The sequence below is a fragment of the Homo sapiens genome, chromosome 1 (genome assembly GCF_000001405.40).
Source record: "Homo sapiens chromosome 1, GRCh38.p14 Primary Assembly".
NCBI classification, from domain to species: Eukaryota; Metazoa; Chordata; class Mammalia; order Primates; family Hominidae; genus Homo; species Homo sapiens.
Genome location: NC_000001.11, coordinates 30731898 through 30758638, shown reverse-complemented (window position 1 = coordinate 30758638; position 26741 = coordinate 30731898). Strand labels below are relative to the sequence as shown.

At 52.8% G+C, this 26741-nt stretch overlaps 1 protein-coding gene, 1 long non-coding RNA gene and 1 other non-coding gene across 4 annotated transcripts, besides 20 other annotated features; all 3 read left to right on the top strand.

Moving 5' to 3' along the window:
* Window positions 854–1133: an enhancer, noted in NCBI's record as "active region_630". NCBI's record gives its function as "activates an Ori minimal core promoter by ATAC-STARR-seq in GM12878 lymphoblastoid cells {active_cell/tissue: GM12878}" and the evidence as "EXISTENCE:reporter gene assay evidence [ECO:0000049][PMID:35858748]".
* LAPTM5 (lysosomal protein transmembrane 5) lies at window positions 865–26170 on the top strand. Of its 2 annotated transcripts, NM_006762.3 has the most exons (8): window positions 865–980; window positions 16090–16183; window positions 16923–16999; window positions 18702–18830; window positions 19577–19699; window positions 20940–21035; window positions 23374–23466; window positions 24722–26170. In NM_006762.3, exons 1-8 carry the CDS (start codon window positions 894–896, stop codon window positions 24809–24811), a joined length of 789 nt encoding a protein of 262 aa, NP_006753.1. In that variant the 5' UTR covers window positions 865–893; the 3' UTR covers window positions 24812–26170. The 2 variants fall into 2 exon arrangements, with proteins under 2 accessions (NP_006753.1, XP_011540400.1); XM_011542098.3 differs by lacking the exons at window positions 16090–16183; window positions 16923–16999.
* Window positions 1262–2058: an enhancer, noted in NCBI's record as "H3K4me1 hESC enhancer chr1:31229428-31230224 (GRCh37/hg19 assembly coordinates)". NCBI's record gives its function as "activates a minimal SCP1, AML or CMV promoter by ChIP-STARR-seq in primed H9 embryonic stem cells {active_cell/tissue: H9 hESC(primed)}" and the evidence as "EXISTENCE:reporter gene assay evidence [ECO:0000049][PMID:30033119]".
* Window positions 2724–2773: an enhancer, noted in NCBI's record as "active region_629". NCBI's record gives its function as "activates an Ori minimal core promoter by ATAC-STARR-seq in GM12878 lymphoblastoid cells {active_cell/tissue: GM12878}" and the evidence as "EXISTENCE:reporter gene assay evidence [ECO:0000049][PMID:35858748]".
* Window positions 3245–3594: an enhancer, noted in NCBI's record as "active region_628". NCBI's record gives its function as "activates an Ori minimal core promoter by ATAC-STARR-seq in GM12878 lymphoblastoid cells {active_cell/tissue: GM12878}" and the evidence as "EXISTENCE:reporter gene assay evidence [ECO:0000049][PMID:35858748]".
* LOC105378620 (uncharacterized) lies at window positions 6279–14849 on the top strand. Its single transcript, XR_007065566.1, has 2 exons — window positions 6279–8295; window positions 8707–14849. It is a non-coding gene; the product is annotated as an uncharacterized LOC105378620 (long non-coding RNA).
* Window positions 7050–7591: an enhancer, noted in NCBI's record as "H3K27ac-H3K4me1 hESC enhancer chr1:31223895-31224436 (GRCh37/hg19 assembly coordinates)". NCBI's record gives its function as "activates a minimal SCP1, AML or CMV promoter by ChIP-STARR-seq in primed H9 embryonic stem cells {active_cell/tissue: H9 hESC(primed)}" and the evidence as "EXISTENCE:reporter gene assay evidence [ECO:0000049][PMID:30033119]".
* Window positions 7322–7481: an enhancer, noted in NCBI's record as "active region_627". NCBI's record gives its function as "activates an Ori minimal core promoter by ATAC-STARR-seq in GM12878 lymphoblastoid cells {active_cell/tissue: GM12878}" and the evidence as "EXISTENCE:reporter gene assay evidence [ECO:0000049][PMID:35858748]".
* Window positions 7592–8135: an enhancer, noted in NCBI's record as "H3K27ac-H3K4me1 hESC enhancer chr1:31223351-31223894 (GRCh37/hg19 assembly coordinates)". NCBI's record gives its function as "activates a minimal SCP1, AML or CMV promoter by ChIP-STARR-seq in primed H9 embryonic stem cells {active_cell/tissue: H9 hESC(primed)}" and the evidence as "EXISTENCE:reporter gene assay evidence [ECO:0000049][PMID:30033119]".
* Window positions 7762–7901: an enhancer, noted in NCBI's record as "active region_626". NCBI's record gives its function as "activates an Ori minimal core promoter by ATAC-STARR-seq in GM12878 lymphoblastoid cells {active_cell/tissue: GM12878}" and the evidence as "EXISTENCE:reporter gene assay evidence [ECO:0000049][PMID:35858748]".
* Window positions 8542–8591: an enhancer, noted in NCBI's record as "active region_625". NCBI's record gives its function as "activates an Ori minimal core promoter by ATAC-STARR-seq in GM12878 lymphoblastoid cells {active_cell/tissue: GM12878}" and the evidence as "EXISTENCE:reporter gene assay evidence [ECO:0000049][PMID:35858748]".
* Window positions 8692–8771: an enhancer, noted in NCBI's record as "active region_624". NCBI's record gives its function as "activates an Ori minimal core promoter by ATAC-STARR-seq in GM12878 lymphoblastoid cells {active_cell/tissue: GM12878}" and the evidence as "EXISTENCE:reporter gene assay evidence [ECO:0000049][PMID:35858748]".
* Window positions 9700–9879: an enhancer, noted in NCBI's record as "active region_623". NCBI's record gives its function as "activates an Ori minimal core promoter by ATAC-STARR-seq in GM12878 lymphoblastoid cells {active_cell/tissue: GM12878}" and the evidence as "EXISTENCE:reporter gene assay evidence [ECO:0000049][PMID:35858748]".
* Window positions 10200–10509: an enhancer, noted in NCBI's record as "active region_622". NCBI's record gives its function as "activates an Ori minimal core promoter by ATAC-STARR-seq in GM12878 lymphoblastoid cells {active_cell/tissue: GM12878}" and the evidence as "EXISTENCE:reporter gene assay evidence [ECO:0000049][PMID:35858748]".
* Window positions 12410–12559: an enhancer, noted in NCBI's record as "active region_621". NCBI's record gives its function as "activates an Ori minimal core promoter by ATAC-STARR-seq in GM12878 lymphoblastoid cells {active_cell/tissue: GM12878}" and the evidence as "EXISTENCE:reporter gene assay evidence [ECO:0000049][PMID:35858748]".
* Window positions 12880–13069: an enhancer, noted in NCBI's record as "active region_620". NCBI's record gives its function as "activates an Ori minimal core promoter by ATAC-STARR-seq in GM12878 lymphoblastoid cells {active_cell/tissue: GM12878}" and the evidence as "EXISTENCE:reporter gene assay evidence [ECO:0000049][PMID:35858748]".
* Window positions 13080–13139: an enhancer, noted in NCBI's record as "active region_619". NCBI's record gives its function as "activates an Ori minimal core promoter by ATAC-STARR-seq in GM12878 lymphoblastoid cells {active_cell/tissue: GM12878}" and the evidence as "EXISTENCE:reporter gene assay evidence [ECO:0000049][PMID:35858748]".
* Window positions 14581–14710: an enhancer, noted in NCBI's record as "active region_618". NCBI's record gives its function as "activates an Ori minimal core promoter by ATAC-STARR-seq in GM12878 lymphoblastoid cells {active_cell/tissue: GM12878}" and the evidence as "EXISTENCE:reporter gene assay evidence [ECO:0000049][PMID:35858748]".
* Window positions 18870–19429: an enhancer, noted in NCBI's record as "H3K27ac-H3K4me1 hESC enhancer chr1:31212057-31212616 (GRCh37/hg19 assembly coordinates)". NCBI's record gives its function as "activates a minimal SCP1, AML or CMV promoter by ChIP-STARR-seq in primed H9 embryonic stem cells {active_cell/tissue: H9 hESC(primed)}" and the evidence as "EXISTENCE:reporter gene assay evidence [ECO:0000049][PMID:30033119]".
* On the top strand, window positions 19407–19483 carry MIR4420 (microRNA 4420). The gene has a single exon (NR_039616.1). It is a non-coding gene; the product is annotated as a microRNA 4420 (primary transcript).
* Window positions 24814–25315: an enhancer, noted in NCBI's record as "H3K4me1 hESC enhancer chr1:31206171-31206672 (GRCh37/hg19 assembly coordinates)". NCBI's record gives its function as "activates a minimal SCP1, AML or CMV promoter by ChIP-STARR-seq in primed H9 embryonic stem cells {active_cell/tissue: H9 hESC(primed)}" and the evidence as "EXISTENCE:reporter gene assay evidence [ECO:0000049][PMID:30033119]".
* Window positions 25356–25861: an enhancer, noted in NCBI's record as "NANOG-H3K27ac-H3K4me1 hESC enhancer chr1:31205625-31206130 (GRCh37/hg19 assembly coordinates)". NCBI's record gives its function as "activates a minimal SCP1, AML or CMV promoter by ChIP-STARR-seq in primed H9 embryonic stem cells {active_cell/tissue: H9 hESC(primed)}" and the evidence as "EXISTENCE:reporter gene assay evidence [ECO:0000049][PMID:30033119]".
* Window positions 25862–26367: an enhancer, noted in NCBI's record as "NANOG-H3K27ac-H3K4me1 hESC enhancer chr1:31205119-31205624 (GRCh37/hg19 assembly coordinates)". NCBI's record gives its function as "activates a minimal SCP1, AML or CMV promoter by ChIP-STARR-seq in primed H9 embryonic stem cells {active_cell/tissue: H9 hESC(primed)}" and the evidence as "EXISTENCE:reporter gene assay evidence [ECO:0000049][PMID:30033119]".

The following is a 26741-nucleotide window of genomic DNA, read 5'->3' as shown; positions in this document are numbered from 1 at the left end:
TCTCACAGATTGCTGTGAAGAGTTATTGACCCACCTAGAAGAGAAGCCTAGCCCAGGGCCTGGCGCACAGTTGATGGGTTTGCTTCCTGGTTATTCTTCCGTCCTTGTCTGGAGCCCTGCACGCCTCTTCGTAGCTTAGGAAGAACAAGCTTCTCCCTGCGGCTCAGGGTGAGGAAGTGGGAGAGAACACCAGCTCCAGGGAGGCTTCTAGCACCAGTCAGCCTCAGTTAAAATCCTTGCACCTTCATTGACTAGCTGTGTGACCTTGCACGAATCATTCCCCCTCTCTGTGCCTCAGTTTCTTCATCTGTAAAATGGGGATCATAATAGTACCTCTCTCAAAGGATTGAGGTGAGGATGAAAGGAGTGAATCCAGGAGCATGCCTGGAAGAGGCAGGAAATGCCTCCTAGACAATAGCTATTTTTGCAGCCAGACAGATCTGGGTTTGAATTCTGCCACCAGTGCTAACTACTGTGTGATTTGGGGCAAGTGCCTTGACCTCTCTGGACAGCTGTTTCCTCATCTGGAAATGGGCTTGGTAACAGTCCTGGCTTCCAAAGTTGGTAGTGTTCTTCTAGTAAGCAAGCTGTGTGAAACGGTGGAACCCTGGCCCTGGTGCAGAGAAGGGCATGATGACCGTGTTAGGGTCTGTCCTCTCTGGAACCCCCTCCTGGGAATGGCAGAGGGCAGTGGGGTGCTCTGAGGCAGGCTGCTGCCCTGTCCCCACTCCCCCTCCCCAGCTGCCCCGCCCCAGCTGTGACGACCTTGTCCCTGCCTGTCTAAGGGGCAGGAAGGAAGTGAGGAGGGCAGCCAGCAGCTTCCCCTTCTCTGCCCTGCTCCAGGCACCAGGCTCTTTCCCCTTCAGTGTCTCAGAGGAGGGGACGGCAGCACCATGGACCCCCGCTTGTCCACTGTCCGCCAGACCTGCTGCTGCTTCAATGTCCGCATCGCAACCACCGCCCTGGCCATCTACCATGTGGTGAGTGTGCGGGCCCCGGGTGTGTGTGCGTGCGTGCTTGTGTGAGTGTGAATGTCTGCGGTGACCCGTCATCTACGGAGCCCCACAAATGAAAGAACTCCTGCTCTCCACCTCTCTGGGGGACCCTGGGCAAATCCCTGTCCTGCTCTGGGCCTCAGTTTCCTTCTCTGTCAAATGGCTGGGGGTACCCTGGGGAGATGCCGCAAGAGTGAGGAGTAAGGGAGCTGGAATCCACTTTCCAGGCAAATGTAACTGACGTTCACTCCGAGGCTGGCTCCGTTTCTGCCTCTGTGAGATGGGGCACAGCAGCAGCCGGAAGGTTATTTGTGTGCAAAGCCAACAGCAGATGTGAAAGTGCTTTGGAAGGCAGGGATCTTGGGAGGAACGTGGGCTGGGATTGTTTGACCGGGATGTGAGGTCGGCCGCAGACACAGCCCCGATTCTTCCCCTGGGGCCTGGAGGGAGCCTGGGCCACTCGAGGGGATGAGAAGTGGGGATCTCCCCTTTGTGCCTCCAGTGGGGAGGCAGGGGCCGTGTCCTCTCAGCTTCCAGCTCAGTCAAACCACGGCCTTCTGCCCACCAAAGAGAACTTGAGACCTGTGCTAATCATTAGGGTAACTTGTCCGGCCCAAGCTCTTGTTGGGCAACTTGTGAAGTCACGGCTGTCACTGGTTCCTCCTTTCCTGGTGACTCACAGTGTGGTCTTGGGCAAGTCACAGTGCCCGGGGGCCAAGGCTGCCCCTCTGCCTGGGGTGGCTGAGGGTCAGTGTCCTTGTACTGTCCTGCCTAGACCCACCCTACTCCCAAACTCCTGGCCACACTCATCTCCCCTAGACCCAAGCGACTTCCTCCTGGGGTGACTCAGGGCCTGTGGTTAACAGTTTTCTCATGAGTCTGGAAGGGCTTCCTCAAAATTAGCCTAGATCCACATGCTGCGGTGGGTTGCTGCAAACTCAGACCTGCCTGCGTCTGCTTCCTGTCACAGGCAGGGCAGGCAGAGCTGTGGCAAGAGCCCAGCCTTCAGGGGGGCGATGCTGTTCAGTGGTTAGCCCACGGCCTCTGGATGCAGACTCCTGCATGCAAATCCTGGCTTCCCTGCTTCCCAGCTCTGCAGCCTTGGGCAATTTACTTAACCTCTCTGAGCCTCAGTTTTCTCATTTAAAAAAATGGGGATGTGAATTATCATACCCATCTGATAGGGTTTGTTGTGAGGCTCAGGGAGTTGATACATACAAAGCATGCAGAACCACGCCTGACGCACAGGTGAGTGCTTTATTATTCGTTGTGCATCAGACATGGCACCTGCTGTCAGCATCCTTGGAGTCAAGTTGTCAGATTCAAGGACTCTAGTTTTGGGAGGAGGAACTCAGAGGTTGTCCTTCCGAGCTCCTGCCAATGCAAGAGCTGAGAGAAGCAAATCACTCTTTGAGTGTCCCTGTACCCTGTATTTTAGGCCTTCAAGCTCTGAGACTATGCACATTCTTAGAAGGACAGTGTGGCATGCAGGGGCGCCTCACAGGTAGCAAGTCCCTGGGTCCTCACCCCAGCCCTGCCACTAACTGGCTGTATGGGCTCAGACAAGCCTCTCTCTGGGCCTCAGTTTCCCTTTTATAAAGTCAGGGGTAAGGTGATGTTGACTGGCTCAGAGGTCTCCAACTCTGATGCCTCTAGGGTCTGGGCAGGCCATGTGAGTGACAGCAGGGGGCAGATGGGGCCTGCGGTGACCCCGGGAGCCCTTGCTTGGCCCACCCTGCAGCTGTTCTCTGTTTTTGCTTGTTGTTGCCACGAAGGATTGTGGGCCCTGGTGGCCGCTCTTCTGATGTTTAGAGAATAGGGAGCAGGCTTTTGTGTCACATCTTCTGATGTTTCAATGCTAGTGATTGATGCATGGTAGAAAAAAATCTCAGTGCAGGCCAAGTCAAATCCATTTGCAGGTTGTGTGGGCCCAGAGGCTGCCCTGCAAACCCGGGACTGTGGGGCTGTTAAGGTTTCTTGTTGATCGTGCCATCCGATGTCCTCACCTGTAAATGGTGGTGTGATATACGGTCCCTGCTCACAGAGCTGAAGAATGTGTGGGCCCTAGCAATCATGGAAGACTTCTTGGAGGTGGTGCCATTGGCAGGAGGGAGAGTTTGGTTGTGGGCAGTATGGAAGGTGAGGAGAAACAGGTGAGCAATGGCGTATGTGTTCGGCTTCTACAGGGACACAATAGAGACAAACCTGGAGTTTGGGGAGGAGGTGATAAAGGTTTTGAGTGACAAGCTAAGAAGTTGGATCTTCTCTGCAGTGCACCATTGATATTTTGGGCTGGATAATTCTTCATCTTGGGGGAGTGAATTGTGCGTTAGAGGAAGTTCAGCAGCATCCATGGTCTCTACCTACTAGATACTAGCAGCACTGCCCATCTCCCTACCCTGCCACTTGTGATAACCAAAAATGTCTCTAGTTATGGGGCCCAATCTCTCCCAGTTGAGAACCAATGCCTATGAGTGATGAGACGTTCTAGAGCAGGAGCAAGCAAAAGAGCAGAGGGGTGTCCTGGAAGCTGTGCGCTCGGCCCAGGTTGTCTCCAGGCTGTGGTCCTCAGTTGACTCCAGTGGGGGGTTATCTTCCTGCACCCCGAAAGAGTCCTCTCTCCTTCCCAGAAAGGGCAGGGCCTGGGGGCTTTCCCATAGGCTAGCTGGCAACAGGTGTGCTGATAGGACCTTGAGCATCTGGATGGAAAAAGAGAAGCTGTGGTCCAGATGTGTCAATAGCCCATGCTGGCTGTCATCTGGACCCAGCCATGGGTGACGACTCTGCACATCATGAGCTATTTGTGGACTTGGCCCCTCTAGGGAGGGTTAAATTGAGACCTTGCCATCCTGAGACAGTGCCACGCTCTATTGAGTCATGAGGGCGTTATTACATGAGGGAAGCCTGGTCCGTAGCTTTGGGCTCGGGCATCTTCCTCAGGATGTCAGTGGGTTTGTGTAGAGGATTCTCTGGGTCACCCAAACTTGCACACTTTGGGAACCCAGCAAACTTTCTTTCTTTTTTTAAAAAATCTATTCTTTTTTTCAAAGTTCAGTAACTTGCCCATCTTTTGTGGTTTGATTTGTTTTGTTTTGTTTTTGTTTTTAAGAGATGGGGTCTTGCTCTGTCACCCAGGCTGGAATGCAGTGGTGCCATCACAGCTCACTGCAGCCTTGAACTCCTGGGTTCAAGAGATCCTCCCACCTCAGCTTCCTGAGTAGCTAGGATCACAGGCGCATGCCACCATGGCCAGCTAATTTTAAATATTTTTTTTTGTAGAGACAGGGTCCCACTATGTTGCCCAGGCTGGTCTCAAACCCTTGGCCTCAAGTGATTCTCCTGCCTTGGCCTCCCAACGCGCTGGGATTACAGGCATGAGCCACCGAGCCCAGTCTAGAGAAATTTCTTAAATTGGGTCTCTTGGGTCCTGGCTTTTTGTCAACCTGAAGCACGTTCTAAGTCGATGGTAGAAAGTGGACACCCCCAGAAGACACTTTTGCCCAGAAATCTCTTTCTTCCTGACCCCTCTTCCCCAGAGTGCCCGGAATTCCACTGTCAGAAATGCATTGTCTGGGTTAAAAAACTTAACACCTGCTATGATTTCAACAGTGTCAAAACAGGATACGTCAAAACTGGGCGAGGAGGAAATGTATTTGGGTTCTAGGATAGTGAAAGCTCTATTTTTTCTACTTTTCTGTATTTTCCATATTTGGTACAATGAGCACGTACTTAGAACGGTTTTAGATTTACGAAAATATTGCAAACACAGTACAGATAGTTCTTGCGTCCCCCATGCCTAGTTCCTCTATTGCTAACGTCTCAACGTTAGTGTGGTGCGTTTGTTGCAATGGGTGAATGAATATTCGTGGGCTGTTATTAAAGTCAGTGCTTCACCCCTATTTCCCCAGCTTTCCTCTTACATCCTTTTTCTGTTCCAAGATTGCATCCAGGATGCCGCGTTACATTTAGTCTTCACACTTCCTTAGGTTCCTCTTGGTATGATGGTTTCTCAGATTTTTCTTGTTTTTGATAATCTTGACAGTTCGAGGAGTATTTGTCAGGCATTTTGTCAAATGTTCTTCAACTGGGGTCTCTGGTGGTTTTCTCATGATTAGTCTGGGAATGTGCTTTTGGGAGGAAGACCACAGAGATGATGTGCCAGTCTCAGAACATCGTACTAAGAAAAGGTTCTGCCAACTTGACTTACCACTGTTGCTGGTGACTTTGAGCCCCCGGCTGAGGTTACTCCTTTGTAAAGTTACTCTTTTTTTCTCCTTTCCATGCTGTATGTTTTAGAAGGAAGTCACTATGCTGCTCCAAGCAACTCAAGTTTGATGAATGGGGAGTTCCGCCCCACCTCCTTGAGGGCAGAGTAGCTACATAAATTACTTGGAATTTCTCAAGGAGATTTGTCTGTACTCCCAGTTTATTATATAAATAAATGATTTATTTATATTACAGGGACCCAGGGATCTTTACTGTATGCTTTGGGTTATAATCCAATGGTACTTTACTTTGTGGCTCAAGTATACTACTTTTAAATTGGAAAAAAAAAAAAGTACGGCCAGGTGCGGTGGCTCATGCCTGTAATCCCAGCATTTTGGGAGGTTGAGGCGGGTGGATCACTTGAGGTCAGGACAAAACCCTGTCTTTACTAAAAATACAAAAAATTAGCTGGGCATGATGGCGGGAGCCTGTAGTCCAAGCTACGCGGGAGGCTGAGGCAGGAGAATTGCTTGAACCTGGGAGGTGGAGGTTGCAGTGAGCCGAGATCGCGCCACTGCGCTCTAGCCTGACAGAGTGAGACTCTTTAAAAAAAAAAAAGGTAAAGCATTCAAATCATAGTATTTGAAGAAGGAGTCTCTATTGCCCTGACCTCGTGCAGGTAAGTTCACCCATGTGCCCAGCCCCAGGCCGGGATACAGCCCTGACTCATTCACGGCCTCTGCCCTTGAGGGGCCAGTCTGCCAAGGAAAAACCGACGAGGACAATGGATGACATTGCTGGCTATGATGGGGGCACAGATGTAGGGCTGGAGGTTGGGATTCTGGAATAGCTTCTTGGAGGAGGTCTGAGTCTTAAGGATGAGTAGGGCTTTGCTTGGGCACCTTGGAAAAGAGGTCACGCTGGGCGGGGGGAGTAGCATGACACAGGCTTGGAGGGGAAGGACCCTGCAGTGCTTCAGAGACCTAGCAGGTTTGTCAAGCTGGGTTAGGAGGGGTGGCCACGAGGTGTGTCGGGGAGGAGGGTGGAGAGGTCCCCAGGGGTGGGACCTGCCCGAGTCCTTTGCTTTTACAAGCTTCAGAGCTAAGAAGATGGATCTCTCTTCGGCCTATCAGCTCATTTTGCAGATGGGAAAACAGGTCCAGCAGGGCCCCTTACTTGCTCCAGGACACATGGAGAGATGGGGCAGGAGCTTGCTTCAGGTCCCCCTGCTGGCACACAGGTGTGTGGAATGATCCAGAAAGTGGGCAAATGAGTTCCTTCCCTGCCCCATGGCTGGGGTGGTGTGTCTGTCTGGGAGGCCCTGCCCTCATCCAGCCTCCCACCATTCATTTCTTCTTTATGGTCCAGTTTACGGGAAGCTTCCTCCTCCAGGAAGCTCTCCTGATTTGTCCTCCTTAGAACTCCTGGGGCTCTTTTCTCTGCTCCACTTTGGGGGCAGTGATTTGTGATTGAAAGGAACACAGGCCCATCTCCATTACTTACCAGCAGTGTGACTTGAGCAGGCGGGCACCTTTGTTATCTGAGCCTTGCCTTCCTCATCTGTAAATGGGGCCAGTGGTCCCTGCCTCAAAAGTGATCATTTGGAGGAGACCCTAGCGAAGCCGGGTGGAGGGCTAGCAGGTGAGTGCCTGAAGTGGGCTGTGGAAGAAGAACACAAGGCCCCCCGCCCCTTTTTTTTGAGACTGAGTCTTGCTCTATCACCCAGGCTGGAGTGCAGTGGCGTGATCCTGGCTCACTGCAACCTCTGCCTCCCGGGTTCAAGTGATTCTTGTGCCTCAGCCTCCCAAGTAGCTGGAATCACAGGTGTGTGCCATCATGCCCGGCTAAGTTTTGTATCGTTAGGAGAGATGGGGTTTCACCATGTTGGCCAGGCTGGTCTTGAACTCCTGACCTCAAGTGATCCACCAGCCTCAGCCTCCCAAAGTGCTGGGATTATAGGCGTGGGCCATAGTGCCTGGCCCCACTCCTCTGTTGAAAGTTCATCTGTTTGGGGTTGAAAAATGGGTCCAAACTGCCAGGTGGGGAAAACCCTGGGTGAGAATCTGTTAGAACTTGCCACCTTTATGTCCAGTGCCCCTGGGCTGGACAGAGAGGCCACGTTCTCTGCCACTGCAGCTCTGTGCGCTTCACGGAGGGGTGAGGAGGCCGGTGGGGGCAGGGTGGGAGTTGTAGCCCCTCCTCAGTGTCAGAACTGAGTTGTTCTCCTCACCTCAGGGGTGTGAACCCCAGCTTCTAAAAGCAGGAGGCCCCCATGGCCCATCCCACCCAGAGAGTGGCTGAAGGGCCTAGCCTGGCCTGGCCGAGACTTCTCTGTTGCCAACCTGGCCCCGAGGCCTCCAGGAAGTGAGGCTTTTATTTTGAGCCTAGAGCATCAGCCTGGAACCAGGACTTCGCTCTGAGCTCACTGTGAGGCGAGCGTTGGTTTCCCAGGGGACCCCACCCTGCCAAGGGAAGTGGCACAAAGCACCCCCTAATGAGGCAGGAAGCAAAGCCATGAGCTGCACTGCCTCAGCCCTGCACAGGGGCTGCTTGGGACAAGGCACCCGTCCCCCAGCCTCAATTTCCTCCCTGGTCAAGTGGGATTCAGTAACTACCATTTGTGGCACCGGAAAAATGGCAGCTGCCACGGGGGCCTCCATTTTACAGATGAGGAAACAGGCTCAGGAGGGCAAGTGACTCTGCAGCCTGTGTTAGATAAAGAACCCGAGCCCAGGTGTCTGCTCCAGGTGGAGGCAGGGAAGGCAGCCTTCCTGGCAGCCATGGGATGGGGGAGGGGGTCAGCTCTGCCATCCCCAGAGCCTTGTTCTGAGAAGCACAGAGCCCATGTGTAAAGAGCTGATTTCAATTTTACCTGCAAAATCAGAAAAATATGGGACTCATGTTAGAACCTGTCTCTCAAGACTGGCGCGAGGTTGACACGAGAGAGTGTATGGTCAGTCGGCCCTCCCTATCCGCAGGTTCCACATCGTGGATTGCAGATTGAAAATACTCAGATGCAGAGCCCGTGATACAGAGGGCCGACTGTATAAGTTCAGAAGAGGACCTGGCGTCTAATAAATGCACAACAATAATAGTATCAATACTTATTATCACTATTGTGGGTCTTTGCTCTGAAGATAAAGGGAGAAGTGATGGTTTTAGGGAATCGTTTGGGGAGTGGAGGGTGCTTCCCCAGATATCTAGGAAGTGGAGAATGACAGGGCCTTGTGTCATACCTGGAGGCCAACTCTGAGCCCCCCACTGGCTGCTCCTAAAGGGAGATTTGATAAGCTACCACCAGCCAGAATATCTCTGCTGCTGGGATTCACTGGTACTGTTTGCCTTTGGGGCAAAGTTAGCTGCTAGCGCCCAGTCACAGCACTTCCTGTGCTGCAGGTGACAACCTCCTCCAGCGCCATCTGAGCCGTCCGAGTCTAGGTTCTCTAGGTTTTGCATGAGCCGTCACATCTCCTGCATGCTCTTTCCCCTTTCTCTCTAACCCCAGAGGCCCCACCCCTGCCAAACCGGTGGATCCGTGTGTTCCCCCAGCCAACTGCTGCCATTTACTGAGGCCTGCTGCGTATTCAGCACATGGATGACGCCAAATCACAGTTTACTAAGAGGAACGTCTTGCCGTTTCCTGAATGCGTCTCATGCACACTGGCCTCTGCTCATGCCCTTTCCTCTGCCTGGAACACTTTTTCCATTGCTCTTTCGGGGAATCTTCTTCAAGATCCACCTCCTCTGAGAAGCCCGCCCTGACCCCTACGGTTGGACCCTGAGCTCTGGGTGTTGACCCAGAGCCCTGTGTGCTGGGTCCCTGGGAGTCGTGCCCTCTGGCCTGGATGCTCGTTTGGGTCTTGACCCAGCCTGATTCATCTTCATGATCCCGTGGAACCTGGCACAGGAGGTGCCAGCCAATCTCTATTTGATTTTTGCAAACCTTTTCTTGATGTATAATTTACCTATAGAAAAGCACAGCTATCTTAAGTGCACACCTTGGTGGGCTTCTACAAGGTGAACACACCCATGTGACCTCCACCCAAACTAAGAAATCAGACCAGCACCCAGAGGCCCCTAGAGCCCCCGCCTCGCCACTGCCCCGCCCCCACTGACTTCTGCCTGTCTATGTAGTTCTATAATACATACATCTGTAGAATTACGTAGAAATGAAATTCTGCAGCGCGTGTTCTTTTGTGAGCACTTCTTTCTCCCAACGTTATGTTTGGGAGCTTCGTCTGTGTGGTTGCGGGTAGCTAACTCATTTTTTCCATTGCTGTGTATACTCCATTGTATGAATCTACCACAATGCATTTGCCTGTTTTCCTGCAAAATAACATTTGGATTGATTCCAGCTTGGGGCTGTTACAAATAAGGCAGCCATGGCCACCAGGCTCCGTGCTGGGTGTCCACACACAGGCACCTGTGCTGCTCAGTTGATCTTTCTGAATCACTGTCTTCAATGATTTACTTCTCACACCCACTCCAGGAGGTGGATGGATTCTTCTCTCCCTTCTACAGATGAGGAAATGTTACAGATGAAGTAACATGGCCAGGCCAGGATCCCACAGGGGATCAGCGGCTGCACTGGGGTTCTCACTGAGGTCTGTGAGCCCCAGAGCCCAGTGGAGGGAGGAGGGGATGAGGTGGAGGCGGCGGGTGAGGACGAGAACTGCGGAAGAGTGAAGAGGAGAGAGAAGCCAGGCTCTGGGGAGCTGCAGGCAGCCAGGCCGGGCTGCTGCGGAGTGCGTGGCCCCAGGAATGGGGGCGTCTGGTGGTATCTGGGCTGGCTGGAGAGGTGGTTGGGGAGATAGTGCTCTTGGGGGGCTGGCCCCCACTGAGCCCTCATAAGCTCTGACCAGAAGCACAGGGTGGGGAAGGGGAGCTTCCTCTTGATGGTGACACATCTGACTCCCTTCTCACATCCTCCTCCCAGGCAACCCAGGGAAATCAGGGTGGGCAGGTGAGGTTGAGGGGACTGAGCTTCAGGGAGGGGCCATAATAATAATGATGATGGCAGAAGTGTGAGGCTGTAGGACACAGGGTCAGGGTGGAGCAGCCCTGAGGGGGAGGGGCAAGGGAGGGCTCTGGCACTTGGGACCCATATGGCAAACTGCATTGTCTGTTGGGAAGGGTTGAAGACAAGCCCGGGCCTGTCTTCTTGTGCAGCCTCTGTCCTGGGCTCGCACATTTGGTAGGAGGAGCCAATGAAGTAAACGGATAGGAAAGTGTCCACACTCTGGCTGGCACGGGTGTGTGCTCACTGACGGCTGGGTCCTTTCTCTATAACCTTTACCTCCCTGAAAATCTCAGATGGTGGGTCTCCGCCTGCCTGCTTCTGAGACGGTGGGTCCTGGGCCTCAGGGAGTGAGAGAGAGTGGGCCTGCTCTCCTGCAGAAGGGACTGGTCTTTGAACCCCAGAATCGGGGGTTCTTGTGTCATCACCACCATCCACATGATATTCCTTATCACCATCCTATCCTGATGTCCCCATTGCCGTCACCCCCATCACTGTCACCAACATCACCAACAGCATCTCTGATCATCACTGTCATCACCACGCCAACTCCAACAACATCCCAACAGCCACTCCCCGCCTCACATGGTCACCATGGCCAGTGCCTCCCAGGTGACACCTGGTGCACTGTTTTCACCGCATCCCCTCTGGTACCGCCATCCTTATTGCCCAGCCATGTTCAATACTGACCCCATTGTCCCCATCTTCCCTGATTTCCATCCTCCAGCCCCTGCCCCCATTCTTTTAGCTCAACCTGTTGCTTGCTCCTCAGAGCCACCAGGAAAAGAAACAAATCCCCCTGCCCCTGGCCACTTCCCCAACTGGCCAGCTTGGGGAAGCTGTGTTTGTCATTAAGAAAGAAAGGCTGCGTGCAGACGGGAATAAGAACTGAAACCAAAGATGGGCAGAAGAAGAGGTGAAAAGCGGGAAAGGAGAGTGGGGGTGGGAAGGGTGGCTGAGCATGGCTGGGACCGCAGCCTGAGCCTGGCTTGGAGGCAGGAGGACAGAGCTGATTTTGACCCTGCGACAGTTTTGGTGTGTGACCTTGGGCTGGTCGCTGTCTCTCTCTGGGCCATATTTCCCCGCTGGTAACATCCTCCTCTCAGGGAAGAGACACTCCCGTGCCTTCTGAGTTTCCCTGAAGGGACTGAAACACACCTGCACCACCAGGCCTGTGGCTTTTGCACATGATGTCTGCTCTTTTGGAATGCTTTCTTCTCTTCTGTGTTGGAAAACTCCTACTTGCCCCTCAAAGCCACGCTCATGGGTTTCCTGTTGGTGAAATTCTCCCTAAGTTTTTTAGACAGCAATGCGCTCTCCCTCATCAAGGACCCCAAGCCCCATGCGTGTCCTCTGTCATGGCTCTGAGCACACCATTCATGTATCGAGTTCCCTGGAGACTGTGACACCGGCACGCCAGGGTCAGTGGCTTTTCTAGACAGAGTTTGGAGGCGGTAGGTGCTCAGAGAGTGTTTACTGAGAGTCAGTGAATGCCCAGAGGTAGCAAAAACCACCACCCAATTGTGCTTGTTTATGGTGCACCTGCTGTGTGCCCGGCTCCGCGCACCACACGATTCCATTTGACCTCAGCAATCCTGTGAGGCAGGTCAGTGATTATCCCCATTCCTCAGATGAGGAGCCGAGGCCCAGAGAGGTTAGTGGCTGGCTCAAGGGTGCAGAGCTCGGCTGGGGCCTGGGGCCATCTGACCCCAGCACCCGAGCTCTTATCTTCATGATCTCACCAGCATAGAATGAAGGGACAGTGGGTGAAAAGATGCTGTAATTGGGGAGCAAGTGGGTGAGGGCATGCTGTCTGCCTGCGCATTGTTGGGGGAGAGAAGCCTTGTACCTGTCATGGGATGGCTCGGGTCCCAAGGTCACAGCCCAGCTGGGCTCTCAGAGCTTGGGGAGAAGGCAGCGCTGTGTCCAGGTGGAAACCGGGGACATGAGGGGAAGGCAAGGGCTTGGAGGCTTGGAAATGTTGACTGTCTGCATACTCTGTAGGTCGGCCAGGTACTTTCCAGGAACTACCAACAGCTGTTGGTTAGGGACATGGGTGGGGCAGTGAGGGCCTTCTGAGGGGCAGGGTGCTGGCCCTGGGGTGGCTGGGGGTGGAGGACTGTGGGCAGCCTGGGTGAGATGTCCTACAGTGTGTAGGAGCTCCACCCCACTGACCCTCCTGCGTTCTGTCATCCCAATGGCCCCAGGGGAAAATGAGGGTCTCTTCTCATTGACCAGAATCGAAAGCTGAGGCCAGGGAGAAGCCAGAACCTGGCCAGGGCCACACAGCAGTGAGGCAGTGGAGGAGGCCTCCTGCTCCCCAGCTCTTGTCTCCTGAGCTCTGAGTGGCTGGGGCTGGGGCTTGGTTGCCAGGGAAGGGTGGGCAGATGGCTAGAGAGATCCTGGAGCCTCAGGGGAGCAAGTTCAACCTTGTGGGGAGCCCTGACCCCAGGAGAGAGGCAACAGGGTTCACACCCCAGCCGGGCCACGTGACACAGGACATGTGAGTTCTCTCTCAGCCTCCATTTCCTCATCTGTAAAACGGGAAAATGTTGCCTGTCTTGTAAAGTTTTGGGAGATTGCAGTGCAAGCCTGTGCGTGCAGGTCTGAGCACACAGTAGGTGCTGAATAAATGTGAGTTCCTCTCCATCCTATGTCCTAGAGAGCCACATGGGTGCCTGGAGAGCCGAGCTTCCTCCCTTTCTCCTGGGTCAGGGCCTGGCATCTTCGTGGAAGGTCGGGGCCCCTCAGAGTCTAAGTCAGGCTCTGAGGTTGCCTCGCTCTGTGACTGTGGGCTGGTCCCCTGCCCTCTATGAGTCTCGTGAGCCATCCGGCAATGGGGACAAAGTCCTCCCTCGTCCCCTGCCGCAGGGTTGTTGAGAAAAGGTGAAATGGGGGAGGGTGAGCCTGGGTTTTAAATGCAGGTGGTTTTCACAAAAGTAGAAATACCTCTGGTGCCTGGTGCTGGGGCTGAGGGGAGGGAGGGGGGACTGCAGAGGGAGAGGGGATGGGGGCGCCTCTCTGCCTCCACTGAGGCACTGAGGGGAAGGGTTAGGCCTTAGGCAGAGCCCGGGTGGCTGGAAGATGCCGGGCAGCGGAGGGAATTGGCCAAGATTTGAACCCTAGCCCTGCATATGACCAGCTGGGAGGCCTTGGGCAAGGCCCTGGACCTCTCTGAGCTGCACTTTCTTCGTCTGTGAAATGGGAAGGAAAGTATTAAGAATAGTCCCTTTTCTGGGTAGTGGGGAAGATCATGTGGCATGGAGTTAGGCTGTACAAATGTCCCCTTCTTCCCCTGGGGTGATTGGAGGGGTTACAGGGCAGTAAGGGATGCTTGGAGGAGAACAGAGGAGTTGTAGGGGGAGTTGAGGATTAGTAGAGGTCTCTAAAGTCGGGTAATGTCCAAGGTGACCTCATGGCCTCAGGAGGACAATATTAAAATTTCTAAATTTTTCCATCATATAATTTTTTAATTTCTGGAAATTTTTTAGTAGCTGTTTTATGATGTTCATGATAAACTAGGACAGCAACACATGCGTGTAATTTAGAAAGAAAGAAAAATAGAGGCGTGTGTGCAAAAGGTTTTACTGACATAGATGCATGATCAAAATATCTAAGTCCTCTCCGGGGTTCAGGCTAGCAGGGCTCTGAGGCATTTTGGGGGTCAGGGGAATGGGAAGGCATCAGAACAGCACTGGGAGACTTGGGCTCCTCCCTCAACTTGCTGTGTGTCCTTGGGCAAGCCACCTAATCTCTCTGAGTTTATAAAACAAGCAGAGGAAGCTTATAAAACAAGTACATGCAGGCTCCTTCTAGCAAGGGGAGGTTGAGATGATCTGATTCTAGGCTTTGTTCCAGATCTCAGATAATCCTGGAATCTTGAGACTTTGAAAGTCTTCTCATTTCACAGCTGGCAGATGCTCATGGTCCTTCTCTAAGCCCAGCTGTGACTCATCTGTGATCTGCTTACATACTCCCAGGAACAGGGAGCTCACCACTTCACAGGACACCCCGTTCTGTGCTGGACGGAGCTGTCATCTGCCTCCCTTTCTCTTTCTCTCGTTCAAGGTGAAACTGAGAGGAGAGGGGCTGCGGCCTGGCCTTTAGGGGCTGAGGAAGGAGTTTTTTTCTCTCAGGGCTGTTTCCTGTGAGTGTCAGCCACAGCCCTCACCACACCTGCCTTCTTTTTGGGGTGTTCTCAACTTTCCTGATGAGACAAAGCCTTTCCAGCTCACTCTTTAGCAGGTAGAGGGGGCAGTTAGAGCATGCACCGTGCTCCTGGTACTACTGCCGAACCACGTAAGCTTGCCCCAGCCAAAAGCAGATTCTGTTTGCTGGGCACCCCCTGCCAGTCCCTGAGCTCAGTGCTTTGCAAATATAATGCAATTTAATCTTCACTAAATCCAGTGATTGCAATTTTCCAGATGAGGAAACTCAGAGAGGTTAAGAGACTTGCCCAAGGTCACACAGTGACCTGGATTCAAAATCCTCTTGATCTGATTCTGGAGCCCAGCTCTTCATCACTCTTCCGTTCAGTCCCTTTCCACGCCCCTAAACAGGATGTAATGTGGCAGGAAGACAAGTTGAGACCTGTGTCTGAGCTAAAAAAAAAAAAAAAAAAAAAACCCACACAGTCAGCAAGGGGGAAACAGATGGTGGGTGGCTGGTTGCCTGTCAGCTGAGCATGAGTTACCAGTGCAGGGCTGCCTAGAAAGCCGATGTAAACTTAGGGCCATATTAATAGAGATAGGGCACCGACTAGAGGGGAGGGGACAGTTTTCTTGTTCTTTATATGGGCAGAGGTTACCTGGAGAACTGTATGTATGTCATAGGGGAAGGGTGGAGGGCTTGCTGTGAGGACATGGACACACATAAGGTTGTGAGTTCCCCATGGCTGGAAGCACTTAAGTAGAGGCTGCATGGCACAGGTTTATGGGAGGCATGGATAAGGTGACCTCCAAGGTTCTTTAAAACTGCAGTTTTGTGGCTGAACTTCAGTTGTTTCTAGGGCCACCCCAACACTCAGGCCTATCAGATTCGCCCCTTCCACATCATTCTTAGCAAGGGTCATCTGAGAGTGTGGGGTTCATTTGTTCATTCATTCATTCATTCATTCATTCAACAAATACAACAGCTAGGGGAATGAACAAAGAGACATACAGGCTTTCCCTGCCTGGAACCTACAGTCGAATGGGGATAATGGATAACAGCACAGATTGAGTGCTTACTATCTGCCAGGTACTTTAAGTGAATTATCCCATCTGGCCCCACCACAATCCTATGAGGAAGATGTTATTGTTCCCTGAGGGGCCATGGGAGACAGAGATTCAGGGTTAGATGCTCTCCAGGGCCCTCCTGGGCCTGTGTTGATGATTCCGGGAACCTGAAGCTCTATGGTGCTCTCTGATCCCCAGAGCTTGTTGTTACAGAAGGGGATGCAGTGGAGGGGCCTTCAGCTTCTACCCCCCACCCCACCTCTTTAAGCCTGACCTTCAGTAGTAACAGTTACCACTCTTCCTGAGAACTGGGCCTAAGGGCTCTCCTGGGATAGTCTCATTTACTCCTCACAGTAGCCTCCTAAGGAAGTTACTAGTATTATCCCCATCTTGCAGATGGGAAAACCGAGGCACATAGAAGTCAAGTAGCTTGCCCAGGGTCACATAGCTGGAGAGAGGAAGACCCAGGATTCTGAACATGGGCTCTCTGTGTGTAAAGGCCACTCTTTTGTCTGAGATGCCCTACTGACCTGGCATGCCATCTGCTCCAGGATCCCCACTACTGGCTTCCCTGCTGTACACCACTAAGGTGGGAGGGGCTGGTCGGGGGGCCGTGATGCAGGCTCAGCTGACTGATGCTTTGCTTTGCCTCCAGATCATGAGCGTCTTGTTGTTCATCGAGCACTCAGTAGAGGTGGCCCATGGCAAGGCGTCCTGCAAGCTCTCCCAGATGGGCTACCTCAGGATCGGTAGGTCCAGGGGACGCCGGTGGAGTGGCGGGGGGAGGAGGACAGGGAGGGCCCTGGCCAGGGATAGCCAGGCTAGTGTTGGAGGCACTGCCACCTCTCCATGGACGATGGATGACCTCTGGCAAGTGTCTTCCTTTCTTGGGGCCTCAGCTGTTTCATCCGCAAATGGGGATGTTCCACCTGACCCCACCCACATCTGCAGGTGGTGAGAGCAGATGGAATGGCACTTTGCAAATCCCCACCAGCTGGTAAAGGTGATAGCCTCACTCTTCTGCTTAAAGCCGTCAGTGGCTGCTCATCACACTAGAATAAAATGGAAACTCCTCACCATAGGATCCAGCCTCTGCCCACCTCTCTGACAGCATCTCCCTGCGATTCTCCACCCCACACCTTGCTCCAGCCACACTGACCTCACCAACCCTGTCCCTGTCTCAGGCCGATTCCTCATTGCTCTCAGGCCACTCCCCAGGGATGCCTTCCTCAGCCTCACCCTGGCTGAAGTGGACCCCAGCCTGCACCTCCAGCCCAGCACCCTCTGTCGCATCCTCCTGTGCTATGTGTGATGTTCTGCTTTTGTCTTTGTACTCACTCCAGACTCAGGACTGCAAGAGGGCAGGGCCTGGGCTTTCCTGTGCATCCTCATGTCCCCAAACCAGTGGTTCCCCAAGTGTGGTCCTGGGAGCCTGGCTGGGGTCCCAGGGGCACCCCTGAGCACCTCCCTGCTCTCCTTGCCTTTCAGCTGACCTGATCTCCAGCTTCCTGCTCATCACCATGCTCTTCATCATCAGCCTGAGCCTACTGATCGGCGTAGTCAAGGTGAGGGCTCAGGAGCCCCGCTGCCCCCTGCCCCTTCCTGTTATTCACACCCACTGGTGGTGGGCAGTGCTGGGTGCTGAGAGGGTGGGAGGCGGGTATGTTAGGCGGTCCCACCTGCGTTCTGGAGATCTTCACACATACCTTTTGGAGAACCATGTTTCTCCCTGAGATTCCCTGGGCAGGTGACCTCAGTTCCCTGGTAACATGAGCCTCCACGGGGCCGGGCATGGTGGGCTATGCTGGTCACCGACACTTTGGTGAGAACTAGCTGATGACTCACATCCTTTTAAACGGCAGGTGGAAGCAGGGAATTTTGAGAGTGAAAAGAGGAAGTGTTGTTTCTGGGGGTGAGAGACGGGAGAAAGCACTGGATTTTGTAATGGATGAGAGGAGCCGAAGAAGGGGGAAAGTAGGATGCATGCAGCTCTATCCATGCAGTGACAGGAGCCAGCACCCTGAGGGGGACCTACGCCCTGGAAGGCCCCCAGAGAGCTCATGATCTGATTGGGGAAGATGGGCCTTCAGAGAGACAGGGACAGTCTAGTGTGACAACGAGGGGCTCCTGGGCCCGAGGCAAATCTGGTGGGAGAGTTGAGATGGGCTGTAGCTCAATCCCCTGCAGAAGAGGAACCCGCGGTCCCTGGGTCCCCAGAAAGGCAGGAAGCCAGGGCCTCACCACATAGCCATGGGAGTAGGATCCAGAAAGAGGGTCCTTCCTGTGCAGACAGGGGCCTGGCCCTTGCAGGGCCGGAGGAGTGGGGCGATGATTTGGTGCTGGTTTGGAATGCGTCCACCCTGCCTCAAATGCCAGCACCCACTCCCCTTGCTAACACTCACTCTGTCTTGGAACCCATGCTGCCTGGGGAGGCCGTTTGCCTTGTGCAGGGTGGCTGTGGGTGCTTGTGCAGAAACTCAAAGGGTTCAGCTAGAGAAATGGAGAAATGGAGCAGGTGGTCCCTGAAGACTCTGAGATCAGTCAAGATTGTTCTGGTTGCCTCCTGAGTGATTTTAGACGACCACATGAGACACCAGGAAACCACTGTTGCAGTGATTTTGTCCCCAGCTGTGAGAGCATATGAATGAATACTGGTCATGGTGGTCACTTGCTTTCAATTGAAGAAGAGGGACTTCAGCCTCTTCCTGGCAGGGCCTCTTACTGTGACTTTGGACCCCTGGGAGTGGCTGGTGGAGGAAGGTCCAATTGTATGCGGGGCGTGGTGGGGAGTGGGGGGTGGGGGGGAGGGGCTCTCTGCTGCCTCCGGGCCTTCACTCATGTTGGTCTTTCTGCCTCCAGTGCCCCGCCCCTCCCTCCTGTTCACTCCTAGTCTCCTTCCCCGATCTAGCCCTGGTGTCCCCACCTCCAGCAAGTCCTCTCTGGTCCCCTCTCCTCTGTAAAAAGTGCACAAAGCCCTTCCTTGCTGGGTTCTTGTGAGCAAATTGAGTCAAATCCTGCTCTTTGAGCCCTGATAGATGGGGATGGTTCCCTTACGTCTCCTGGGACACCAAGACTCCTCTCATTCAGGGCCTGGGTCTTATCCACTCCCTGTCCCCAGAGTGTCACTCAGAGGGAGGTGACCTCAACTGAGGAGGGCAGGGAAGGTTTGGGAGAGGGTGGGAAGGGGATGCATGAGGATATCAGGCTGGGTGGCGGAGTGTTGGCTGCATGCAGGGGACACTTGACGGTGCTGGGCCTACCTTTCAGAACCGGGAGAAGTACCTGCTGCCCTTCCTGTCCCTGCAAATCATGGACTATCTCCTGTGCCTGCTCACCCTGCTGGGCTCCTACATTGAGCTGCCCGCCTACCTCAAGTTGGCCTCCCGGAGCCGTGCTGTGAGTACCCAGCCCCCACCTCTCACCGGACAGCAGAGCCCAGGTCTGGCATGGGAGATGGGAGGGGACCAGACACGGGCCCTGTGCTCAGGCTGGGGAGGGTAGGAGCCCTCTTCCTGGCTGGTGTCTTGACCCAGTCTCTGAGTCCCTCCACATTGCCCCAAGTTTCTTCCTCTGTGGAATGTACCTGCAATCACATCTCATCAGCCTGCCTTATGAGGGTTACATGAGGAACACACACATTGGGGGTGCAGCCCATGGTCAGCACTCAGTCAGTGCTGCTGGGAGTGAATTGACACCTGAGGAAAGGACATGTGCGCTTTTTAGCCCCCAGCCCCCAGTATTATTTCTTCTTTGGAACCAAGTTGAAGAAAGGAAGAGAAGGATGATTCATGCCAGTGAGCGCCCACTGTGGGGTGGCTTGAGGGCTGCTGCCAGTCAAGGACACAGTCTCCCAAACCTGCTTTTCTCACTCTCCCCAACTGTTGTCCTTGAAGAGACCGGGGGGCTACATCATGGAAGGGCCCTGGCCCGGGAGTCTGGAGACCTTGGTTCTAGTCTTGGGTCTGCCACCAGCTCTTGGTATGAACATCTGTGTGTTCATGTCTCTCTGTGCACAGGGGACGAGAGTCACTGATGTCTGTAGCTGAGACGGTCTCTCAAGTGAGGGCCTACTATGTGCCGCTCAGTAACTGGGACTTTAATTGCTGCTCCTCATTCCTCCTCCTTGTATTTGTCCTCCCCAGAGCTCCTCCAAGTTCCCCCTGATGACGCTGCAGCTGCTGGACTTCTGCCTGAGCATCCTGACCCTCTGCAGCTCCTACATGGAAGTGCCCACCTATCTCAACTTCAAGTCCATGAACCACATGGTGAGTCTGGGGCAGGGAACCATGCCCATTTGCTGGCTGTGTGGCCTTGAACAGGTTACTTCACGTCTCTGTGTGTCTGTGGTTTAGGCCAGGTTCCCTGGAGTTGGAGCTTGGGAGGAAGATTCTTGTGCTGGTGATTTATTGAGGGAGCCCTCTCAGGAAGAAACTTGTCAGGAGTGAGGAAGGCAGGTTCGAGAAAAGGAGGAAGCCAAGCAAAGAAGCAAAGATGTGGCTGTAGGAGCAGCCCTGCATGATCCCAGAGAGGGCTTTGGCATGTGAATTGCAACACAGACATAATATCAGTTTTTATTGTTGTCTAATGAATTATCTCTAAGCATCATGGCTTAAAGCAATAAACATTTATTATTTCACACAGCTTCTGAGGATCAGGAGCTTGGGAGTGGCTTAGCTGGGTTCTTCTGACTCAGGGACTCTGGTGGGGCTGCACCAGAGATGGTACCTGGGGCTGTGGACAACTGAGGGCTTGATTAGATCTGAAGGATGAACTCCTGGTGGCTCACTCACAGGGCGTGGGCTCTTTGCCTAATTCCTCATCCTGTGGACTTGTAGTAGTGCTGCTTGAGTGCTCTCCTGACATGGCTGCTGGCTTCCCCTGCGGGAGTGATGTAAGAGATAAGCAAGGAGGAAAGGCAGTGTCTTTTAAGACTTCTATCACTTCTGCCACATTCTGTTAGTTAGAAGTGCGTTGCTAAGTCCAGCCCACACTCAAGGGGAGAGGAAATAAACACCACCTTTAGAAGGGAGGCGTCTCAAAGAATGTGTGGTAATATTTGCAAATGACCACAGAGGCAGTCTCACCTAGGGCGAGTTCCCCTGCATCAGTCATTGGTTTCAAGCTGCCCCTAGGGGAGGGAATGTAACCTCCCAGGTATTAGTGGATTAGGTGGTCCCTGTCAGCCAAAATGATCTTGTAGAGAAGAGCATAGGTGTGGCCCATGGGCAGCTGACACCTGCCAGCTGGGGATGGGCCGGTGCGCCAGCCTGGGAAGCAGATCTGGAGATAGTAGCCACTTGGCTTTTCTTGGTTTGCCCGTCAGTGGGATGGGGCTGAAGGTAGCACCTGCTTCCTAAGGCTGCTGTGGCGGTCGACCAAGGTGACGGCTGTGCCACGCTGTGCTCGTGTGTGTGTGGAGGGTGGGATCATTATTCCCGGATGTGTGGGTGCTGTTGGAATTCCTTATGTCCAGAGACATTGATGTGGCCCCCAAATCTGTTGCAGAATTACCTCCCCAGCCAGGAGGATATGCCTCATAACCAGTTCATCAAGATGATGATCATCTTTTCCATCGCCTTCATCACTGTCCTTATCTTCAAGGTGAGTGGATCCCTGCCCTGCGGCTCTGGGAGGGGTGGTGAGGCTGTGCTGGGCCCAGGCCTGCCCATGCCAAGCTGTTAGAAGGCAGGGACATGTGTCCTCCATGCCTCCTCTCCTGCTTTTAGCTCCTTTCTCTTGCTTTCCCATGCCAGCTCCTCTGACTTTACTTGGGATCCTCCGAGACAGCCCATTTAGGGCATGTGAATCCGTAAAGGCCACCTGCGTTCAGATGTCTAATTCCAGCTGTCTGGAATTAGATTTGGACTGGCCTGCGTTTGAATCCAAGCCCCACTGTCACTAGCTGCGTGGTTGGTCTTCAGCAAGTCACTTCTCTCTGGGCCTCAGGGGCAGGAGTCTTGTTTTGCCTGTGTTACAGTTTTATGTAATTCAGGCATCAAAATGTACCTGAGATTATGTTAATAGAGGTTTGGTGATGAGAAGGCAGGAGGGGAATGGTCTCATTCTTCTCTGGGGTGGTCAGGCCCAGAGGATAGGGTCCAGCTTCAGGTCCCAGGTCTGAGTGATGGTGAAGCACTGGAGTGTGTTCACAGCAGTACAACCAGCAACGTGAAGAGACAAGAAAACGCTGCCATCTTAGGAAGTCAAAAAACCCCCACAAAACCCAACAAAGACCTGAGCGTTTATTCAGCATGGAAAATAGAGGACTCAAGGGGGACCTGACTGCTGTTTCTTAATACCTGAAGAACTCTTGTGGGGAATTTTGTGGGATCCTAGAGGCCACAATGGGGGCCTGTGGCCTGAAGCCACAGGGATGCTGATGACCACAGAAGGAAGGGCTTTTAAAAAGTGTTCTTTTCTGATTATAAAAGTAACATAGGTCATAGTAGAAATTTAAAAACTACAGATGAGCTGGATGTGGTGGCTCACATCTGTAATCCCAGTGCTTTGGGAGGCTGAATTGGGAGGATTGCTTGAGGCCAGGAGTTCAAAACCAACCTGGGCAACATAGCAAGATTCTGTCTCTACAAAACATAAAAAAAAAAAAGTTGGATGTGGTGGCGTGTGCCTGTAGTCCCAGCTACTAGGGAGGCTGAAGCGGGAGGATCGCTTGAGCCTGGGAGGTTGAGGCTGCAGTGGGCCATAATCATGCCACTGCACTCCAGCCTAGGCGACAGAGTGAGAATCTCTCTCTAAAACAAAAAACAAAAACCAAAAAACTACAGATAAGTAGAAAGAAGACAAGCACTCCACCATCCACACCCCACACAGAGAGCATCACTGCTGACAACTGGGTGCATTTCCCCCCAGCCTTTCTGTGGTGGTGGGTGGGCATCTGCAGACCCCAGCTCCTGCTTCCATCTGAGGCCCTGGGCAGTCTCTGCTGTCACCTAATGCCAACCTAGAAACAGAACCTTGCCCCTTTTAGCATCTTCTCCAAGGACTGACCTAGCACAAACGCACTAGTGAGTGTACAGTGAGAACACCCCTGAAGGCCTCATGGGGGAAGCCAGTGTGGGCTTTCCATGGCACTCTCTACTGCAGGACCCCTCCGCAGACCCCAGCACACAGCTCCGTCCCCCAGCTCCCCTTCTGTTTTTTATCCTCCAGAATGAGGGGCTTCCCTCTTTGACCCTCATTCTGCCTCTCTGGCCCCCTCCACCGACTTGATTTTCCCTGGGCCTTCATGCTTCATTCTTTGTCACTCCGTACCTCCATATGTCTCCTTGCCCCACCTATGTGCCCATCAGGGAATCCATCAAACAAGACCTTCCAGTACAGGACCCTCTCCTCTTACTCAGGGGGCATCCTGGGGGTTTTCTGTTGTTTCTTGAGCTTGCCCCTTGGGATTGTATGCCCCACTCTGGAAAGCTTCTGCCCAATTCTTACATTAACTTGCATCAGCTGATGGACATGTACTAACTGTTCCTCCTTTATAAACATGGACCAATACTGCACATGCTGTTTTGTAATCTGCTTCAGAAAACAACATATCGGAAGCAATTTTGAAGAAAACATGTCCCACCATCAGCTCTGTTTCGAGATGGGCAGGGCTGTCTCAGGAGGTAGTGAGCTTCCAGGCAGTGTGGGCAGTCAAGCAGGAGCTGTGGGACTATTGCCAGGGAAATTGGAGGGTGGGCTAGAAGCCCCCCAAATCCCCTTGCTATGTGGTATCTGTGGGGCAATGAAAAGGGCAATACCTGGAATATTCTGGACTGGCTGGTGAGGAACCCCCAACCAGAATGAGAGGTCCGAGCAGGAGCAGCTGGATGCTGGCTTCTGGAGAGAGTGGTGGCTCCTGCCTGGCATATGTCCTAGGCCTGCTGGAGCGTGAGAAGGACGCTCAGCAAAGCACAGCCTGACCTGGGCCTTTTTCCAGGTCTACATGTTCAAGTGCGTGTGGCGGTGCTACAGATTGATCAAGTGCATGAACTCGGTGGAGGAGAAGAGAAACTCCAAGATGCTCCAGAAGGTGAGTGTGGCTGCAGGTGGGTGCCAGCCCTGTCACTAACTCCCTGTGCCATTTGGGTCAAGTTTCCTTCCCTCTCTGGACCTTGGTTTCTCTATTTGTAAGATGAGGGTTGGAACAGAAGAAATGTGTTCTCTTTCAGTTCTGGTAGTCTAAGATTCATTCACTCACTCATTCATTTATTCAGTATTTACTGCCTCTCACTCTTTGCTAGTCTCATATCGATTCCAGGAGGCGCAGAGAAAACTAAGATGCCACCTCTGCCTTAGAGGAGTGTACAGTTCAGACACATAGATACAATTACAACTTGGTGTGAAGCACAGGGACAATAAGCACAGAGGAAGGACCTGGCCTCTTCTCAGGTATCAGGGAAGCCTTCCTGGAGGAGGTGACAGTTAACTGGTCTTGGAGGGTCAATGGATATGAGATAGCTGGGAAAGCAGAAGGAGGCTTTCCGGGAAGAGAGGATGAGGTGTGCTTAGAAGCAGCTTATTGGAAAGTGACGGTTTAAATTCCTGGTAACTTACTTTCCTCACCTGTAAGGTGGAGATTGTATTAGCTAAGACACTTTTGGTTGCAAGTGGCAGAAACCCAACTCAATCTGACTTCAGGAATTTACTAGCTCACAGAACTTAGCAGCCAAATGTAGGTCTGGCTTGGGCCTGGCTGAGTCCTGACATCAGGATATGATCTCGTCCTCTCCAACTCTTGACTCTACTTTCCTTGATGTTGGCTTCATTTTCCGGAAGCCCATCCCTTGTGGTGGCAAAAAGGCTGCCAAAACCCCTAGGCAGATATCCCACCCTCTCAGAAATCCCAACAGAAAAAGAAGGTCCCAGGAGTATGTCTGATTGGACCAACTTGGGCCACGTGCCTATCCCCAAACCAAGGACTATAGCCAGGGGGATGGAATTCTACTTTGAGTGGCCAAGTCCAGCCACCTCGCTGGATCTGAGGGATGGGACCAGTTCTTCTGAAGGTATATGGACTGAGAATGTTTTCCCAAGGAAAATGGTGCACTGTTTTCAAAATAAGGGGGACTTGATGCTGAATAGGCAAAGGCAAATATGTCCACTACAGGGCTGGGAACTGCACCTATCTCATGCAGGCAATGTCTAGCACATAGCAAATATCCAAGACCTGCCAGTCATTATCATCATCATTTTGCCAGAGGTGGGGGTTTGGGTCCCATGACCCCAGGTTGGAATTGCAGGTCATTCTTGACCATACTCAGCCCTCATCTCTCTGTCTCTCCCAGGTGGTCCTGCCGTCCTACGAGGAAGCCCTGTCTTTGCCATCGAAGACCCCAGAGGGGGGCCCAGCACCACCCCCATACTCAGAGGTGTGACCCTCGCCAGGCCCCAGCCCCAGTGCTGGGAGGGGTGGAGCTGCCTCATAATCTGCTTTTTTGCTTTGGTGGCCCCTGTGGCCTGGGTGGGCCCTCCCGCCCCTCCCTGGCAGGACAATCTGCTTGTGTCTCCCTCGCTGGCCTGCTCCTCCTGCAGGGCCTGTGAGCTGCTCACAACTGGGTCAACGCTTTAGGCTGAGTCACTCCTCGGGTCTCTCCATAATTCAGCCCAACAATGCTTGGTTTATTTCAATCAGCTCTGACACTTGTTTAGACGATTGGCCATTCTAAAGTTGGTGAGTTTGTCAAGCAACTATCGACTTGATCAGTTCAGCCAAGCAACTGACAAATCAAAAACCCACTTGTCAGTTCAGTAAAATAATTTGGTCAAACAACAGTCTATTGCATTGATTTATAAATAGTTGTCAGTTCACATAGCAATTTAATCAAGTAATCATTAATTAGTTACCCCCTATATATAAATATATGTAATCAATTTCTTCAAATAGCTTGCTTACATGATAATCAATTAGCCAACCATGAGTCATTTAGAATAGTGATAAATAGAATACACAGAATAGTGATGAAATTCAATTTAAAAAATCACGTTAGCCTCCAAACCATTTAATTCAAATGAACCCATCAACTGGATGCCAACTCTGGCGAATGTAGGACCTCTGAGTGGCTGTATAATTGTTAATTCAAATGAAATTCATTTAAACAGTTGACAAACTGTCATTCAACAATTAGCTCCAGGAAATAACAGTTATTTCATCATAAAACAGTCCCTTCAAACACACAATTGTTCTGCTGAAGAGTTGTCATCAACAATCCAATGCTCACCTATTCAGTTGCTCTGTGGTCAGTGTGGCTGCATAACAGTGGATTCCATGAAAGGAGTCATTTTAGTGATGAGCTGCCAGTCCATTCCCAGGCCAGGCTGTCGCTGGCCATCCATTCAGTCGATTCAGTCATAGGCGAATCTGTTCTGCCCGAGGCTTGTGGTCAAGCAAAAATTCAGCCCTGAAATCAGGCACATCTGTTCGTTGGACTAAACCCACAGGTTAGTTCAGTCAAAGCAGGCAACCCCCTTGTGGGCACTGACCCTGCCACTGGGGTCATGGCGGTTGTGGCAGCTGGGGAGGTTTGGCCCCAACAGCCCTCCTGTGCCTGCTTCCCTGTGTGTCGGGGTCCTCCAGGGAGCTGACCCAGAGGTGGAGGCCACGGAGGCAGGGTCTCTGGGGACTGTCGGGGGGTACAGAGGGAGAAGGCTCTGCAAGAGCTCCCTGGCAATACCCCCTTGTGTAATTGCTTTGTGTGCGACAGGGAGGAAGTTTCAATAAAGCAGCAACAAGCTTCTGTCTGGCTGATGTGTTTCTGGAAATACAGTGTAGGGAGGGTGGAGACCAGCCTTCTACCTCCATCACCCCAGGACTCACCCACACCCCCTACACCCACACCCCTCCACACACTCACACCCACCCCCACACACCCACAAATACACCCAAACACCCACACTCCCCCCACATACCCACACACTCACACCCTCCCCACACCCCTCCACACACTCACTCCCACCGCCTACACACCCACACACCCCCCATATACCCACACACTCACACCCCCCACACCCCTCCACACACGCCCACCCCCACACACCCATGTAAACACTCACACATACCTAGTTGCTCCATCCAGAAACTCCTCCCATGGGCCATGCTGAGCGAGGGGTGGTCCTGACCCAATGCTGTCTGATCATGAACCACAGCCCAAGATGATGCACCCTGATGTCTCCCTAATCAGGCGTGCACTCCACTCCCCTGGGGCTGGGTCCTGCTCTGGACACTGGGGAAGACCTCAACAGATGAGACTCGCCTCCAGTTCCCCCCAGTCTGCGGTAGGAGGGACAGATCTGCAAAAGGGCTGCCAC

Excerpts from the sequence above, each read along its gene's own strand:
- LAPTM5 (NM_006762.3), top strand. The coding sequence starts at position 894 with ATGGACCCCCGCTTGTCCACTGTCCGCCAGACCTGCTGCTGCTTCAAT. Across the intron at positions 21,036-23,373 it reads TCACTGTCCTTATCTTCAAG|GTCTACATGTTCAAGTGCGT; the intron begins GTGAGTGGATCC and ends GCCTTTTTCCAG. Across the intron at positions 23,467-24,721 it reads ACTCCAAGATGCTCCAGAAG|GTGGTCCTGCCGTCCTACGA; the intron begins GTGAGTGTGGCT and ends TGTCTCTCCCAG.